We start from the raw sequence: 16,879 nt of genomic DNA, 5'->3' as shown, positions 1-16,879 counted from the left end.
GAAGGATGAAACCTGCAGGAAGAGTCATAGAAATCAATAAGAAATAAGGGGAGATTTGCCTTGGAAAGAAACAGAAAATTTCCTGTGAGAAATAAATCAAGGTGAAACTAGGAACAGAAAGTTTTGAGGTTGCTTTCTGATCACTTCTATTTACCTCACGATTGAAAGAGCAAGATCACTTGCTGAGAGTGAAGTTAGTATTATGATGGGAAACATCAAACAAAGTATATAAAGATTTGAAGTAAAAGTAGAGGTGGATATGAAAGGTACCTAACTGGAAAGGTCAAGTGAAATGAATAGCAAGTAGTTTTGAATGTCCTAGGAATTGAAAACTGTGAATCTGAAAATTATAAACTCGCTTATGCAATAGTCTTATAACTTACTCAAAGAACTAGGTGCAGGGACACCAGATGCAGAGATGGGTTAGCTTATTCTAGTTCTAGAGGTTAGGAAGGCAGATGTGTCAGGATGATAAATAGATAAAGGGATTGGTAGTTCTGGCAATAAAGTGGTAACATCTAAGAATGCTAGATTACATAGGAAGAGAAGGAAAGACAATGGGACATATAGGTTAGGAGAACATGTAAAAATATTGGGAGACAGCATTTAAAGAAGGAAGAAATTTATTTGGTATTTCAAAACAAAACCCAGAGAATTTAAGCTGTTAAGTGTGTGGATCCTGAAAAAAAAAAAAAAAAAGGTATGATTTTGGAGGAGGCCGTATCTTATATAAAACAAGAAGGTGAAGCAAATGTAAATACATTGTTTACTACCTATCTTTAGAGCAGGTTCCTATAAACTAAGACCCACAGACCATATCTAGATAGCTGTCTGTTTTTTTAAATAAAGGTGGGTTTTTTTGTTTTTGTTTTTGCTTTCTTTTTTGTTGTTGTTGTTGTTGGTTTGTATTTAGAATACAGTTGCACTCATTTTTCAAAACGTATTGCCTGGCTGCTTTAATGCTGCTGTGGCAGAGGTGAGTAGTTGCCACAGAAATTGTGTGGCCCACAAAACCTAAATTATTTACACCTGGCCTGTTGCAACAAAATGAAAACCTGCCAACCCCTTTTTTGGAGTAGTGATTCTCAGTGAATTATGTGGGGAATGAGGGTGTGTAGTAAGCATTTGCAAATAAAGAAACAACTTCAAGTTATTCAAATGATTATGTCTCTCAAACATCCACATCCACTGCCTGTCCATATCTCACATCCCTTGAGAGCTACTGGCTCCTAGCGATGGCAATCAAGCTGTTTTCTCATTGGCTTTCTACCCTTGTTTTCCCAAACCACACTGATTACGTTGCCTTCTACCTGTCACAGATAGTCATTTCCCGTTCTACTGCTTGTGTGGTTCTTGTAACTGAACAACATGGAACACACAGACACAAATATGTACACAAACACACACACAGTACCCACACAGGCATGCACACACACACATACACACAGAAAGAAAACAAAAGGAAAACAAAGAAAAAGAAAAGAAAGGAAAGAGAAACTTAAACAAATGACTATAACAAACACTCAACTGCCAGGTGGGGTGGCTCACGCCTGTAATGCCAGCCCTTTGGTAGGCCAAGGCAGGCCTATACCAAAGATAACCTGAGGTCAGGAGTTCGAAACCAGCCTGGCAAACATGGTGAAACCCCATCTCTACTAAAGATACAAAAAATTAGCCCGGGGTGGCGCAGTGGGCCTGTAGTCCCAGCTACTCAGGAAGCTGAGGCAGGAGAATTGCTTGAACCCGGGAGGCGGAGGTTACAGTGAGCTGAGATCGTGCCACTGTACTCCAGCATGGGTGACAGAATGAGATTCTGTCTCACAATAAAAATAATAATAAGTTTGATGAATGGCAATAGTATACCTGCATGATTTAGCTCAATTAATTACTCTATGAAAACATCTTTCATATACATTTACCTGCAAACTAATCATATTGCTATTATTAGATTTCTGAAAAATCTTAGGGGAATGTAGGTTCTGAATATTATAAGTAAATATATAAATGAAATTATACTTATCAATATGAAATACCTCATATACAATGTAGAATATAGAAAATGATACAAAACATAAACTATGCATTTGATATAGAGTATTGGGCTCTCTTATAGAATGACAGCACAGTTTATGAACATTTGAATGCTTCTGGAATAATTTGGCATGCCTTCAAAGTATGGAAGTAGGAAGGGAAACAGTTTAATTAGGACAAGCCAAGAGAACTGTTTGACTGTGTAATCAGAAAGCACTGTTCCAAAACTGAAATTGTAGTTTACAAGTTGCATTTCCCTTCTTTTTTCAGCAAATGGCAGTGAGGTTCACATAAGCAATGTGCGCTATGAAGATACTGGAGCATACACTTGTATCGCAAAGAATGAAGCAGGAGTGGATGAAGACATCTCTTCTCTTTTTGTGGAAGACTCTGCTAGAAAGACCCGTATGTATAGAACCACCCAACAGCACACACACACCATATTCAACGTACTTTTTTACAGCTTTTTTTAAAAAGTAAAGGCACCAGAAAACTGTGAATTGCACAATGCATTATAACAAATAGATTTTATACGTAGGAAGGATAGAAATCTTGAAATACTAAAAGCAGATTTAAAGATGAAAAAAAGTTGTGAAATTTTCATTACAACACTAGATTTTATTTTTTTGCAAGTGTACATATGGTGTTTCAGGTCCTGTCTTCCCATTTGCTCTTGGAGGAATTTATATCTCTTGCAAAATCCCTCTCCTCAATTAAATGTGGGGAATTCAAGGCCCCCAAATGTATCCAATGTGTATCTTCTAGGTAGAATAAATTACTATATTTGTTTTCCTGTCAGTTACATTGCAGTCACTGGATTAAGACCTGTACAGCATCCTTCTCTACAGAAGGTTCAGTGGTAACTGCCACTCTAAGGCACTCACTGCCCCTGACACAAAAACTACACTGTTGCTGTTCTTGGTTTAGTGCTAAAAATCCTTTGCCATCATGGTTCATGTTGTCTGATTGTCTCCTGGAGTTATACCCCAAATGTCTTCTTCTCTTTTATTTTGTTTAATTACTTGGCAAAAGGGGTAGAGATAGGGTGGGGATGCTGAGGATGGATTGCTTTTTATGATAGCCGAATTGTTTGGAACTCAAACTACTATTATAGCATTTATCAAGTGCATTCTTTGCAAGCAAACAAACAGCCATTTTATTCCCTTGGTATACACGTGCCACAGTGTGGCTGTTTTGGGATAGGGCCTGGATGTGCTTGAAATGACTACTCCCCTTGTTCTCTGCTCTTCAATCCTACTTGTTACGCTGTTATTAATATATGTTTTGCAAGAGTCTGACATTATTGGACCCTCTAACTTGACAGGCCCATTTTTCTGAATCCAGTGTTTGAACAAGGTTAAAGCATTGATCCAGCCAGGGGTCTTCCTATTACTTCTTAAGTCACTTAGTGCATATTGACATGAGTGGATCCATTGAGAAAGAAGGACCTTACCCAGGTCCCAACTACTAGCATATCATTATCTTCATTTTGTCTGGTTAGGACAACCATCATTATAAAGAAATATTTAAGAAGGAAAGTCTTTAGGTTGAAAAAAGAGAAAAAAAGCTGGATTTAATGGCCTGCATAAGGTCCACCATAATTCCTTTGCTCTATTCCTTTTATGTGGTACAGCCAATACTAACTTGTAATTCACTTTCTGTTAAAAATTAATTTGAAGTGACAAGTAATTAAAAATGTTTGTTTTCTTTGTCCTTATGATGATGTTTGTGAAACAGATTTTAATATCAACTCTATATTCTTAATTTATTTTAATGTTTGTCAAGTACTTTTTAATATGTTTCCCTAGTTACAACAGTAAAACACCTAGCCAAAGCTCCCTTAGTCAACAAATCATACAACCTTTTAGTGTGTGAATTCTAGGAAAATTTTAGGAGAAGGTTTAACAGGATTAAATTTTCGACAAGGTTTAATCTTGTTGAAGTAAAAGTGCCCATTTAAAAAATAATCATGCATGTAATTAAAATCAGGACAATACTAAATAAGTAAACTGAGTAGAATATTAGCAACTACGGAAAAGTATAAACAGAAAATGTAATAACGTCTACTTGATAGAAGATAGTTTCCCTTGGGATGCCTCCTAATAGTTAAATGCCAGAATTCTGTATAACAAAAGAAAACCAAAATCGGGTGGATTTCATAGTAGTGAAAATTACTGCCTTTTGTAACCCCCATCTTAAGGATTGTGGATCTGGGTTCTTTTCTAGTAATTTCATGGAAAGAGACTGATATTAGATATACATGGCACATTTGTATTTTGGAATGCTAGATATTTTCTTTCTTTATTATTTTTATGTTTTCAATAATTTCAAATTTTATTATAAAGAGTGCATGTGCAGGTGTGTTACATGGGTATATTTCTTGGTGCTGGGGTTTGGGGTACAAGTGATCACATCATCCAGGTAGTGAGCATAGTACCCAATAGATTATCTTTCAGCCCATGCCTCCTTTCATACTTCGCTCCTTTAGTAGTTCCCAGTGTCCATTTTTCCCATCTTTATGTCTATGTGTATTCAATGTTTAGCTCCTACTTATAAGTGAGAACATGTGGTATTTGGTTTTCTGTTCTTGCATTAATTCACTTACGATAATGGCCTCCAGCTTCATTCATTTTGTTTCAAAGACTATGATTTCATTCTTCTTTATGGCTGAGTAGTATTCCATGATGTATATCTACCACATTTTCTTTAACCAGCCCACCATTGATAGGCACCTAGATTGATTCCATGTCTTTAGTATTGTGAATAGTGCTGCAACAAACATGCAAGTGCATGTGTCTGTTCGGTAGAATGATTTATTTTATTTTGGATCTAAATCCAGTAATGGGATTGCTGGGTCAAATAGTAACGTCTGTTTTAAGTTCTTTGAGAAATCTCCAAACTGCTAACCACAGTGGCTGAACAAGTTTGCCCTCCCACCAACAGGATATAGGCATTCGCTTTTCTCCATAACCTTGCCAGGATCTACTGTTTTTTGACTTTTTAATAATAGCCATTCTGACTGGTGTGCGATGATATCTCATAGCAGTTTTGATTTGCATTTCTCTGATGCAAATCAGAGTGATGACGTGGAGCATTTTTCATATGTTTGCTGACCATTTGTATGGCTTCTTTCGATAAGTGTCTGTTCTTATGCTTTTCCCATTTTTAAATTGGATTATTTGATTTTTGCTTATTGATTTAAGATGTTTGTAGATTCTGGATATTAGTATTTTATTGCTTGCATAGTTTACATATATTTTTTCCCATTCTGTAGGCTTTCTGTTTACTTTGTTAGTAATTTCTTTTGCTGTACAGAAGCTCTTTAGTTTAATTAGGCACTTCTTAGGCACTCTTGTCAATTATTATTCTGTTGCGATTGCTTTTGAGGACTTAGCCATAAATTCTCTGCCAAAACCAATGTTGAGAAGGGTATTTCCCACTTTTACTTTTAGGATTTTTATAATTTAAGGTCTTACACTGAAATCTTTAACCCATCTTGAGTTAATCTGTGTGTATGGTAAGAGGTAGCGGTACAGTTTCATTCTTCTGCATGTGGCTAGCCAGTTATCGCAAGATGATTTACTGAATAGATAGTCCTTTCCCTGTTGCTTTTTTTGTCTATTTTGTCAAAGATAAGATGGTTGTAAGTGTATGAGTTTATTTCTGGGGTGTCTGTTTCATTCCATTGCTCTATGTGTCTGTTTTTATACCAGTACCATGCTGTTTTGTTTACTGTCTCCCTGTAGTATAGTGTGAAGTATAGTGTGATGCCTATGGATTTGTTCTTTTTGCTTAGGATTGCTTTGGCTACTCATACTCTCTTTTGGTTCCAAATGAATTTGAGGATAGATTTTTCTAATACTGTGAGATACAACATTGGTATTTTGGTAGGGACATCTTTTAATCTGTAAATTGCTTTGGATAGTATGGCCATTTTAACAATATTGATTCTTCCAGTACATGAGCATGAAATACTTTTCCGTTCATTTGTGTCATCTCTGATTTCTTTCAGCAGTGTTTTGTAGTTATCCTTGTAGAGATCTTTCCCATAATTGGTTAAATAAATTCCTATGTATTACATATAATTTTAGCTATTATAAATGGAATTGTGTTTTCAATTTGGTTCTCAACTACAATGGAATTGGTATATAGAAATGTTGCTAGTTTTTGTATATTGGTTTTGTATCCTGAAACTTTGCTGAATTTGTCAGTTTCATGAAGCTTTTTGCAGCATCATTAGGGTTTTTTATGTATAGGATCATATTCCCAGCAAAGAGAGATACTTTGACTTCTTCTTTTCCTATTTGGATGTCTTTTATTTCTTTCTCTTGCCTGATTGCTCTGGGTAGGACTTCCAGTACTATGTTGAATAGGAGTAGTGAGAGTGGGCATTCCTTTCTTGTTCCAGTTCTCAAGAGAAATACTTCCAGCTTTTGCGCATTCAGTATGATGTTGGCTGTGGGTTTGTCATAAGGTGGTTCTTATTATTTTAAGGTATGTTCCTTTGATGCCTCTTCTGTTGAGGTTTTACCGTGAATGAATATTGGATTTTATCAAAGGCTTTTCCTGCATCTCTTGGGAGATCATATGGTCTTTGTTTTTAATTATATTTGTGTGGTGAATTACATTTGTTGATTTGCATATGTTGAACCACCCTTGAATCCAGGAATAAAGCATACTTGATCATGATGAATTAACTTTTTGATATTCTACTGGGTTCAGTTTGCTAGTACTTTATTGAGGATTTTTGCATCTATGTTCATCAGGGATATTATCCTGAAGTTTTCTTTTTTGTTGTTGTTGTTGTGACTCTGCAAGATTTTGGTATCAGGATGATGGTGGCTTCATAGAATAAGTTAGAGAGAAGGCCCTCCTCCTCAATTTTTTTGAATAGTTTCAGTAGGATTGGTATCCATGCTTTTTTGTATGTCTGGTAGAATTTGGCTGTTCATTCTTCTGGTCCAAGGCTCTTTTTGGTCGGTACATTTTGTATTACTTACTTACTCAATTTCCAAACTTATTGGTCTAGTCAGGTTTTCACTTTCCTTCTTGTTCAATCTTGAAGGGTTATGTGTTTCCAAGAATTTATACGTTTCATCTTGATTTTCTAATTCGTGTGCATAGAGGTGTTCATAATAGTCTCTGAGGATCTTTTCTATTTCTGAGGGATCATTTGTAATGTCATCTTTGCCATTTCTGATTGAACTCACTTGGATCTTCTCTTTTTTTTCCCCCTTAATTAATCTAGCTAGTGGTCAACGTTTTTATTCTTTTAAAAAACAAACTCTTGCTTTATTAATCTTTTGTAAGGACTTTTAGTTCTCAATTTTGTTCAGTTCTTCTCTCATTCTAGTTATTTTCTTCAATTAGGTTTGGAATTGGATTGCCTTTTTTTTTTTTTTCCTAGTTCTAAGTCTGATGTTGGATTGCTAACTTGAGGTCTTTCTAACCTCTTGATGCAGGTATTTACCACTATGAACTTTTCTCTTAACACTGCTTAAGCAGCAACCCAAAGATTTTAAATTGTGTCTCTATTTTCATTAATTTCAAAGATTTTTTTTTATTTCTGCGTTAATGTTATTGTTCACTCAAGAGTTGTTCAGAAGCAAGTTTTTTAATTTCTCTGTATTTCTGTTGTTTTGAGAGATTTTCTTGGTATTGATTTCTATTTTCTTTGCAATGTGGTTTGAGAGAGTGCTTGATATTATTTTGATTTTTTTGCATTTATTAAGACTTGTGTTATGGCAAAGCATGTGGGCAATCCATGGGCAAAAGAGAAGAATGTATATTCTGTGGTGATTCGGTGGAGTATTCTGTAGCTTTGTATTAGGTCCCATTGGTCAGGTGTCAATTTTAAGTCCAAAATTTCTTTTTCAGTTTCTGCTGCAAAGATATTTCTAATGTTGTCAGTGGAGTGTTGAAGTCCCCCCACTGTTATTGTGTGTCTGGAAAGATATTTTCAAAAATGCCAAAAGAACCAATCAAAGACCCATTAGTAATAAATATACTTTTCTTATTTGCACATATTAAGAAATTATTGACTTGTATAAATCTACAAAAAATAATTTCAGGGATTGTTTTCAGTAGTGATAGGATACAATTTTTAAATGAAAAAGCAAATTGTTGTAACTGAAGAGTATAAATTTTGCAAAATGTGTGTTGGAATCACACAACACCTCACTGATGTGGGGGTACTACATGACCTCTCTGGGCTTTAGTTTTCTTATCTTTAATATGAAATAAATACTAATACATCGAGAGATTTCTGTTTCGATCTTACGTATAAAGCACTTGTCATAGTGCAAGACATAAAGTAGCTCTTCCTCTGACTCACATTTGTTTTCTAAAAATAATTTCTTTTTTTTTTTTTGGAGATGGAGTCTTGCTCTGTTGCCCAGGCTGGAGTGGCGTGATCTCCGCTCACTGTAAGCTCTGCCTCCCGGGTTCATGCCATTCTCCTGCCTCAGCCTCCCAAGTAGCTGGGACTACAGGCGCCCACCACCACGCCCGGCTAATTTTTTTGTATTTTTAGTAGAGACGGGGTTTCACCATGTTAACCAGGGTGGTCTAGATCTCCTGACCTCATGATCCGCCCGTCTCGGCCTCCCAAAGTGCTGGGATTATAGGCGTGAGCCACCACGCCCGGCCCTCTAAAAATAATTTCTTATTGCTAAAAACACTGACAAAAATCTATTTCTCAAAAGCCTAGAAAACCCAATAATTGCTACAAATCAGAGTTTTATAATAATGCATACAAATATTGATAGCATAGCTATAGGCAGATATGAGTATGTAGGGGCATCCATTTTTATGCATTCAAATATTAAATATTATCTCTCTTAACATTTAAAACATGGACTCCACTGATTGAGTATACCTTTTATTATTTAGTGTATATATTAAGATACTTTAAATAAATTTCAAAATCTTTTTCTAGAGTTCACTTTTGTCACAATCAAAGCAGAAGCTACACTTTAGTCCGCCTTTACATTGAGTCAATTTATACTTCTATTATATATTTGAGAATTATTCTGTAATGCGCTTTTCTTCTGTTTTTGAAAGATGCAGAGAAGAGAGGTATTGAATCCCATGTAGACAACAATAAAAATGGGGAAAGATTTGTAACTTTGGGGGTAAATAACACAACAAAGACTCACTTTGTCTGGATACAGCTTCGGAGTAATCATCCAGCTATTTTCTACATAATAGAGAGCTCATAGTAGTATCAATCACATTTTTTCCTACACTACATTTGCCAGAAATATGATACTATTGAGAGAACAATCCATGCAAAGCATCATATGGCTAAGGAGTTTGTGTTTTGCTTCTACCCTAATCTTTGAAGTGGGAAACTTTGATTTACAGTGTCTAACTTTGTCAACAAATATCACTGGAAGTTTTCTCATGTGAGAAATTGAATGACAAAAAATATGTGCTTCAAAATAATATACTCTACAGTTACATTAGAGATAGGTTTTCATAACTAAGATTTAATAGAGTGACATACAGGGAGGATTTAAATGTAAAGAACAGTAGAACTGGACCATAGGGGATTGTGTGGTTGCTCACAACAGGGAGTAGGAGAAGATATAAATTATGTGAAGGGATTTAGATAGAGGTAACACATTATTTATTTGAAAACGTCTTGTACATAGCATAAGCACTTGACACATTTTCATTCCCAAGGGAAGTCAATTCCCAGGTAATAAAGGTTCATCCTCAATATGAAGTTAAATAAAAAGTGATGTGAACATAGGCTTCTACAGGAAGCTTTTAAGCTACAGGCTGCATTAAGTGCTAAGAACAGATTGATTCACATCTTGCTATGATTTTAGTAAGGAATATGATTAATCCAGCTGTTTGAGAGTATCAGAGTATGTCTAAATATATTATAATAGAATTTTACGGTCTAAATATAATAAATATACTATAAGGCTAGATACACCATTTTTAAATTATTGTCACAAGCAGTTGGAAATCTTACCATATTGCAATAATTCTTACTTTAGAATTAGCTCCAATAAATTAACATTAGTTGGCTGTATTTCTAAAAAATTAATATTTTGATAGTTCATACTTTATTATAAAATAAAACAACTTGAAGATTTTTTAAAAAACACATTTCAAATGGCTAAAGTCTACAAGATTATTTGCGTAAATAAATTATATAAACATATACTATTTATGTAAGTTAATAATTATTATCAAAATGAAATAAGCATAATTGCTAATACTAAGATTTAGCAATATTGTAAAATCCAGCCATTTGTTTCCAACTATCTTGAAAAAAAATTGAAAAACATATGAATAGTTATGAGGTATCTTCCTATTTTAGAAGTAAAAGAAAGGGTCCTAAAATAGATTAAAACATGGTCTTTTTACCTATAAAGATCGTATGAATATGACTATCATAAACTTTAGAAATAGAATAGATTCTGATAACATAAACAAATTAATTAACCTCTTTAGTCTTCATTTACTTTCTATTTCTATAGAATGAGGAAATACTTCAAAAGGCAGGTTGCATAGATTTAATGAGATCACTTATGTAGGATCTTATTAATCTCTACAGAGGCTAGGAAGGTAATATAAACAGTTGAACAATATAGTCTAAAAAGAGGTATAAATGAAGCCAAATGCAAAAGTCATCGATTAGTAATTATTTCTAGACTCAACCAATATTAGGTGCAGCAGTAATCAGATTAATAATTGTTTTGTTTTGTTTTTACACTCAATAACTGTGAGATAGATAGAATAATAACATACAGCAAAAATCCATAAAGATAAAGTGCAGACATCACAGCCGGGTAGGATTTTATCCTGATAGTGATGAGCTAAGAGCTAGAGTCAAATAGAACCAAATAAAAACAAATATTTATGGAAAAAATAAATCAATGAATAAAAATATTAATTTTCATATATTTTATTAAATATAATTCTATAGAGAATATATACTAATTATAACTTAAAGCAGAAATTAACAATTTGTATTTCTTTTTGAAAAGCCCCAAATTACTTGTTTAATATTTGATATAAGATTTATATAGCAATAAGGTTATTATGAAATAAAATGTCTTAAGATGAAGAGTCATGTCGAAGTTAACCATGCTTGATAAGCATTTATTATTTTATAAACTTTCATTATTTATAATAAATTCCAATATTCATGCTTCTCAATTTGGCCAATGTCATTTCACACCCTGTGAGGTAACTTGTTCTATAAGTCTTTTCATCTTTTTACCCAGAACATACCGAAAATACCTGTCTTGTGACTTCTATATGAAGACTATATTTTTAAAATAATACCCTTCAATATCATTAAATAGATCTGTTTCTAACATGTTGCCACTTTTTGCACAAAAGCAGGGCTTTATTAACTAACAAGATACTATGTGATCTGAATGTCACTAAAATTGACAGGTTTTCAGCAACCGTAAACTACTGGGCATCTTTATTGTCTACACAACAAAATAAGAAATAATGCTTTCTTATTTTGATCTACTGCCTGAATTTTCTCTGCAAGGCATTATATACCTTTAATGAACCTCCTAATTCATATTACACAATGCCAATGTGACTAATTTATTTTAGGATAAGTTGATGATGATGATGAAATTTTATTTATATGACTTTAGGCATGTGGACTGAATACACTTAACATATAGTGACAGTGCTGAGTATACAGTCTCTATTGAACTTAAAAATATGTACATACTAACGTTGTATTTCTTGTGTTCAGGAGAAAATGTTAGGACTCTCTTTGAGGTTTTCTAATTCCAAAGGCTTCAAATATAGTTAATCCTTTACCAAATAACTGTGTTCTTAAGTTTAACAAAAGTAGAATTATCATCACTTTATGATTCTCTTAGTGTTCTCTGTTGCAGGAATTCGGTCAGATAATGGCATAAATGTGCAAAGAGTTAACAAAACAAATGTATCTTTGAAATGCCCAAACTCTGGGGTAAGGGGCTGAAGTGGGGTGTTTTCTCAAAGTTTTGTGAAGTCTAATTTATGCCATATATTTCTATTAACTCTGTGCCAACAGCCCAGATTATACAACTGTGTTTCCTATTGTCCTCTATTTACCCAAATACCAGAATTCTGATAAAGGCTGACTGTGTCTGAATAAGTCAGATAGAGTAAATCAGACAGTTTGATTATTGTTCTTCCTCCTTTTTTGCTTTATATCCCAACTATATGTGCATTTTATATTTATGTTAAACATGAAATGTTGTTAAATGTGAAATTTATTTATTTTTATTTTATTTCATTATTATCATACTTTAAGTTTTAGGGTACATGTGCACAATGTGCAGGTTAGTTACATATGTATACATGTGACATGCTGGTGTGCTGCACCCATTAACTCGTCATTTAGCATTAGGTATATCTCCTAAAGTTATCCCTCCCCCCTCCCCCCACCCCACAACAGTCCCCAGAGTATGATGTTCCCCTTCCTGTGTCCATGTGTTCTCATTGTTCAATTCCCACCTATGAGTGAGAATATGCCGTGTTTGGTTTTTTGTTCTTGCCATAGTTTACTGAGAGTGATGATTTCCAATTTCATCCATGTCCCTACAAAGGACATGAACTCATCATTTTTTATGGCTGCATAGTATTCCATGGTGTATATGTGCCACATTTTCTTAATCCAGTCTATCATTGTTGGACATTTGGGTTGGTTCCAAGTCTTTGCTATTGTGAATAGTGCCGCAACAAACATACGTGTGCATGTGTCTTTATAGCAGCATGATTTATAATCCTTTGGGTATATACCCAGTAATGGGATGGCTGGATCAAATGGTATTTCTAGTTCTAGATCCCTGAGGAATCGCCACACTGACTTCCACAATGGTTGAACTAGTTTACAGTCCCACCAACAGTGTAAAAGTGTTCCTATTTCTCCACATCCTCTCCAGCCCCTGTTGTTTCCTGACTTTTTAATGATTGCCATTCTAACTGGTGTGAGATGGTATCTCATTGTGGTTTTGATTTGCATTTCTCTGATAGCCAGTGATGGTGAGCATTTTTTCATGTGTTTTTTGGCTGCATAAATGTCTTCTTTTGAGAAGTGTCTGTTCATGTCCTTCACCCACTTTTTGAAGGGGTTGTTTGTTTTTTTCTTGTAAATTTGTTTGAGTTCATTGTAGATTCTGGCTATTAGCCCTTTGTCAGATGAGTAGGTTGCGAAAATTTTCTCCCATTTTGTAGGTTGCCTGTTCACTCTGATGGTAGTTTCTTTTGCTGTGCAGAAGCTCTTTAGTTTAATTAGATCCCATTTGTCAATTTTGGCTTTTCACAAGCATTCTTATACACCAATAACAGACAAACAGAGAGCTAAATCATGAGTGAACTCCCATTCACAATTGCTTCAAAGAGAATAAAATACCTAGGAATCCAACTTACAAGGGACGTGAAGGACCTCTTCAAGGAGAACTACAAACCACTGCTCAATGAAATAAAAGAGGACACAAACAAATGGAAGAACATTCCTTGCTCATGGGTAGGAAGAATCAATATCGTGAAAATGGCCATACTGCCCAAGGTAATTTATAGATTCAATGCCATCCCCATCAAGCTACCAATGACTTTCTTCACAGAATTGGAAAAAACTAAAGTTCATATGGCACCAAAAAAGAGCCCGCATCACCAAGTCAGTCCTAAGCCAAAAGAACAAAGCTGGAGCCATCACGATACCTGACTTCAAACTATACTACAAGGCTACAGTAACCAAAACAGCATGGTACTGGTACCAAAACAGAGATATAGATCAATGGAACAGAACAGAGCCCTCAGAAATAACACCGCATATCTACAACTATCTGATTTTTGACAAACCTGAGAAAAACAAGCAATGTGGAAAGGATTCCCTATTCAATAAATGGTGCTGGGAAAACTGGCTAGCCATATGTAGAAAGCTGAAACTGGATCCCTTCCTTAAACCTTATACAAAAATTAATTCAAGATGGATTAAAGACTTAAACGTTAGACCTAAAACCATAAAAACCCTAGAAGAAAACCTAGGCATTACCATTCAGGACATAGGCATGGGCAAGGACTTCATGTGAAATTTATTAAAAGATACTTTTCTATCTCACGCAGTAAAATGGTATGCCCATTTGTATATCTTTCCCCTAAATTGATGTACTGTCTGTTTAATACATATGGTAATACTCAACTCTGGTGTAAAGAATAATACATCCTTTGGAAACATTCTACAATAGTGAAATTTTAATAGAATCAGATTATTAATGAATAAAATATTTCTACTTTTATCTCAAATATGCCCTAATAGGTCAAATTGTGTTTGTAAATATAATTTCTTACTATAAAGTAAGGATTCTGTGTGTGTATAATATACATAGTTCAACCATTATCATACAAGTTATACTAATGTTAATGTCAAAATGTAATTTCAGAGTTATGTTTCACAAAGCAGAATAAAACAACAGAGGACCCTGTATGATTAAGATTAAGAAGTTGTAATCCTAAAAATTTGCCTAAAGTTATTGTCAGCGCAAATAATTGACAGAAACTCATTATCATAAATAAATAAAGTCAACCCCCACAAAACTAGCCTATAGGTTTAAGAAGGCATTTCAAAGACAAGGAAAAATGAAGTATCAGTATGAATTATGTAAAGATGCTTATTCTCATTAATTATAAAGAAAACATACCTTAAAATAGTAGAGAAATACCTAAAATAATAGAGAATGCTATTTCACATCCACTATAATACCAAAAGTCAAAAAGTTGCATATTACCAAGACTTGGTGAGATATGAAAAAATAGGAATTGTCATACATTACCAGCAGTAGTGTTCGTTTTACTGCCCTTTGGAAAGCATGTTGACATTATCTGTTAGAGTTAATTTTTCCTATGCCTTGAGAGCCAGCAATGTCACACATTAGAGTCGCATTGAATTCCCATACATCCAGAAACTGTTTAGGAAGAACCTCCCATGGATGGAATATTTTTAAAAAAATTTTTTTTTAATTTGAATTGAGTATTTGTATTGAACCAAACTGATTTAATTTCATGCATACACTTTGAAATGGCTATAATTTGACTGCTGTAATTCAAATGTGTGTGAAGCTAGTTACCTTACAAAGTATGTGAACACCAACGGAGTATTACCTCTGACTTAACTATTTCTTAATTGTACATTAGAAAAGAGACATTTACATAGTTTAGAAGGTGACAAGAGCTTTTATTGTTAGGATAATAAAAGTTCTGCAGAGAACAATGGGTTTGTTCATTCATGCTTTCACCTTTTAAGTGTTTCTTGAGGAACAAAGAAACATGTTGCTAGCATGTGGTCAACACTGAATACATCAATTCTCTATTTTTAGAAAGTCTTGAAGTCCTTTCAGAAAGAAAGTTGAGTGCAGGTAGAAATGAAGGGCAACAATAATATATAGTAGAATAAAATAATTGCTGTTAATATGCACACAAGCAAAGCGCGATGAGACTGCAGACACAGAAACAAGTAGTCTCTATTGAGGTAATGAACATAGAGCTGATCTTTGATGGTTGTAGTGACACTTCCATAGCTGGAGATTTAAGAGAATATCAAACCTAGGAATGATCCAGGAAACTTTTTTTTTTTTTTTGAGATGGAGTCTTGCTCTGTTGCCCAGGCTAGAGTGCAGTGGCGTGATCTCAGCTTACTGCAACCTCCCCCTCCCAGGTTCAAGAGGTTCTCCTGCCTCAGCCTGCTGAGTAGCTGGTATTACAGGCGTCTGCCACCACCTCCGGCTAATTTTTGTATTTTTAGTAGAGACAAGGTTTCACCATGTTAGCCAGGATGGTCTCGATCTCCTGACCTCGTGATCCGCCCGTCTCAGCCTCCGAAAATGCTGGGATCACAGGCGTGAGCCACCGTTCCCAGGCCAGCGAATATTAATACATGGTGGGTTTGGTTAACTTTGTGTAATATATCATCATAAAAAATATTTACAATACTAGACAAGAAGGCATTGTGACGTAGAATCTGATTAAGAAAGACATTGAAGTGTATGCATGAAAAAAAAGCCAAATTAGAAAAGACATACAAGCTTTGACAGAAGAAATTCTGTCAATGAAAAGAGTCAAACTCTGTAAAATATTTGTAGAGATTTATTCTGATCTAAATATGAGTGACCATGGCTGTGACACAGCCCTCAGGAGGTCATGAGAAGATGTGCCCCGGGTGGTCAGGATATAGCTTGGTTTTTTACATTCTAGGGAGGCATGAGACATCAATCAAACACATTCAGGAAATACATTGATTTGGTCCAGAAAAGCAGGACAATTCAAAGTTGTGGTGGGCGGGGTGGGCTTCCAGGCTATATAGGTAAATTTAAATATTTTCTGGTTGTTGGTTGAGTTTGAAAGGACTGTCTTTGTGGTGATAAGAGGTTGTAGAGACCAAAGTTTTACTATGTAGATGAAGCTTTTAGCTAGCAAGCTTCAGAAAGAATAGGATGTAAAATGTTTCTTACCAGACTTAAAGTCTGTGTTGACATTAATGCCAGAGAGGTATAATGAGGCATGTTCCATCCCCACTTCCCATCATGGCCTGAAACAGCCTCTCAGGTTAAATTTTAAGAGTCCTGGCTTAGGAGGAAGTCCATTCAGATGGTTGGGGACCTTAGAATTTTATTTTTGGTTTACCCTTCAAAGGTAAAAATTATTTTTTACATATTAATTATTTAGTTTTTATCCTGGAGATACCACAATAAGCATTTTTATGCTGGATTTTATTTTTTACATATAGTAGGCATTTGAGTATTTTATTTATTACCAAGGGAGGTTTAATTCAAATTCCAATTCCCAGCAAAGTTTATAAGACAAATTGTCTTGTAGT

The 16,879-nt window shown here is 34.7% G+C and overlaps 1 protein-coding gene across 4 annotated transcripts in view, besides 1 other annotated feature; it reads left to right on the top strand.

Moving 5' to 3' along the window:
* Nucleotides 1-16,879, top strand: part of FSTL5 (follistatin like 5) — a 780,104-nt gene that overhangs the window by 623,399 nt on the left and 139,826 nt on the right. For all 4 annotated transcript variants that reach the window (NM_001128428.3, NM_001128427.3, XM_011532126.1 and 1 more), the window contains exon 10: nucleotides 2,302-2,436. In NM_001128428.3, the coding sequence (NP_001121900.1) occupies nucleotides 2,302-2,436 (135 nt within the window). The remainder of the gene's footprint in view (nucleotides 1-2,301; nucleotides 2,437-16,879) is intronic.
* Nucleotides 14,860-15,697: an enhancer, noted in NCBI's record as "OCT4-NANOG hESC enhancer chr4:162446057-162446894 (GRCh37/hg19 assembly coordinates)". NCBI's record gives its function as "activates a minimal SCP1, AML or CMV promoter by ChIP-STARR-seq in primed H9 embryonic stem cells {active_cell/tissue: H9 hESC(primed)}" and the evidence as "EXISTENCE:reporter gene assay evidence [ECO:0000049][PMID:30033119]".

Source organism: Homo sapiens, chromosome 4 (assembly GCF_000001405.40).
Source record: "Homo sapiens chromosome 4, GRCh38.p14 Primary Assembly".
NCBI lineage: Eukaryota > Metazoa > Chordata > Mammalia > Primates > Hominidae > Homo > Homo sapiens.
This window is presented reverse-complemented; position numbering and strand designations above follow the sequence as displayed.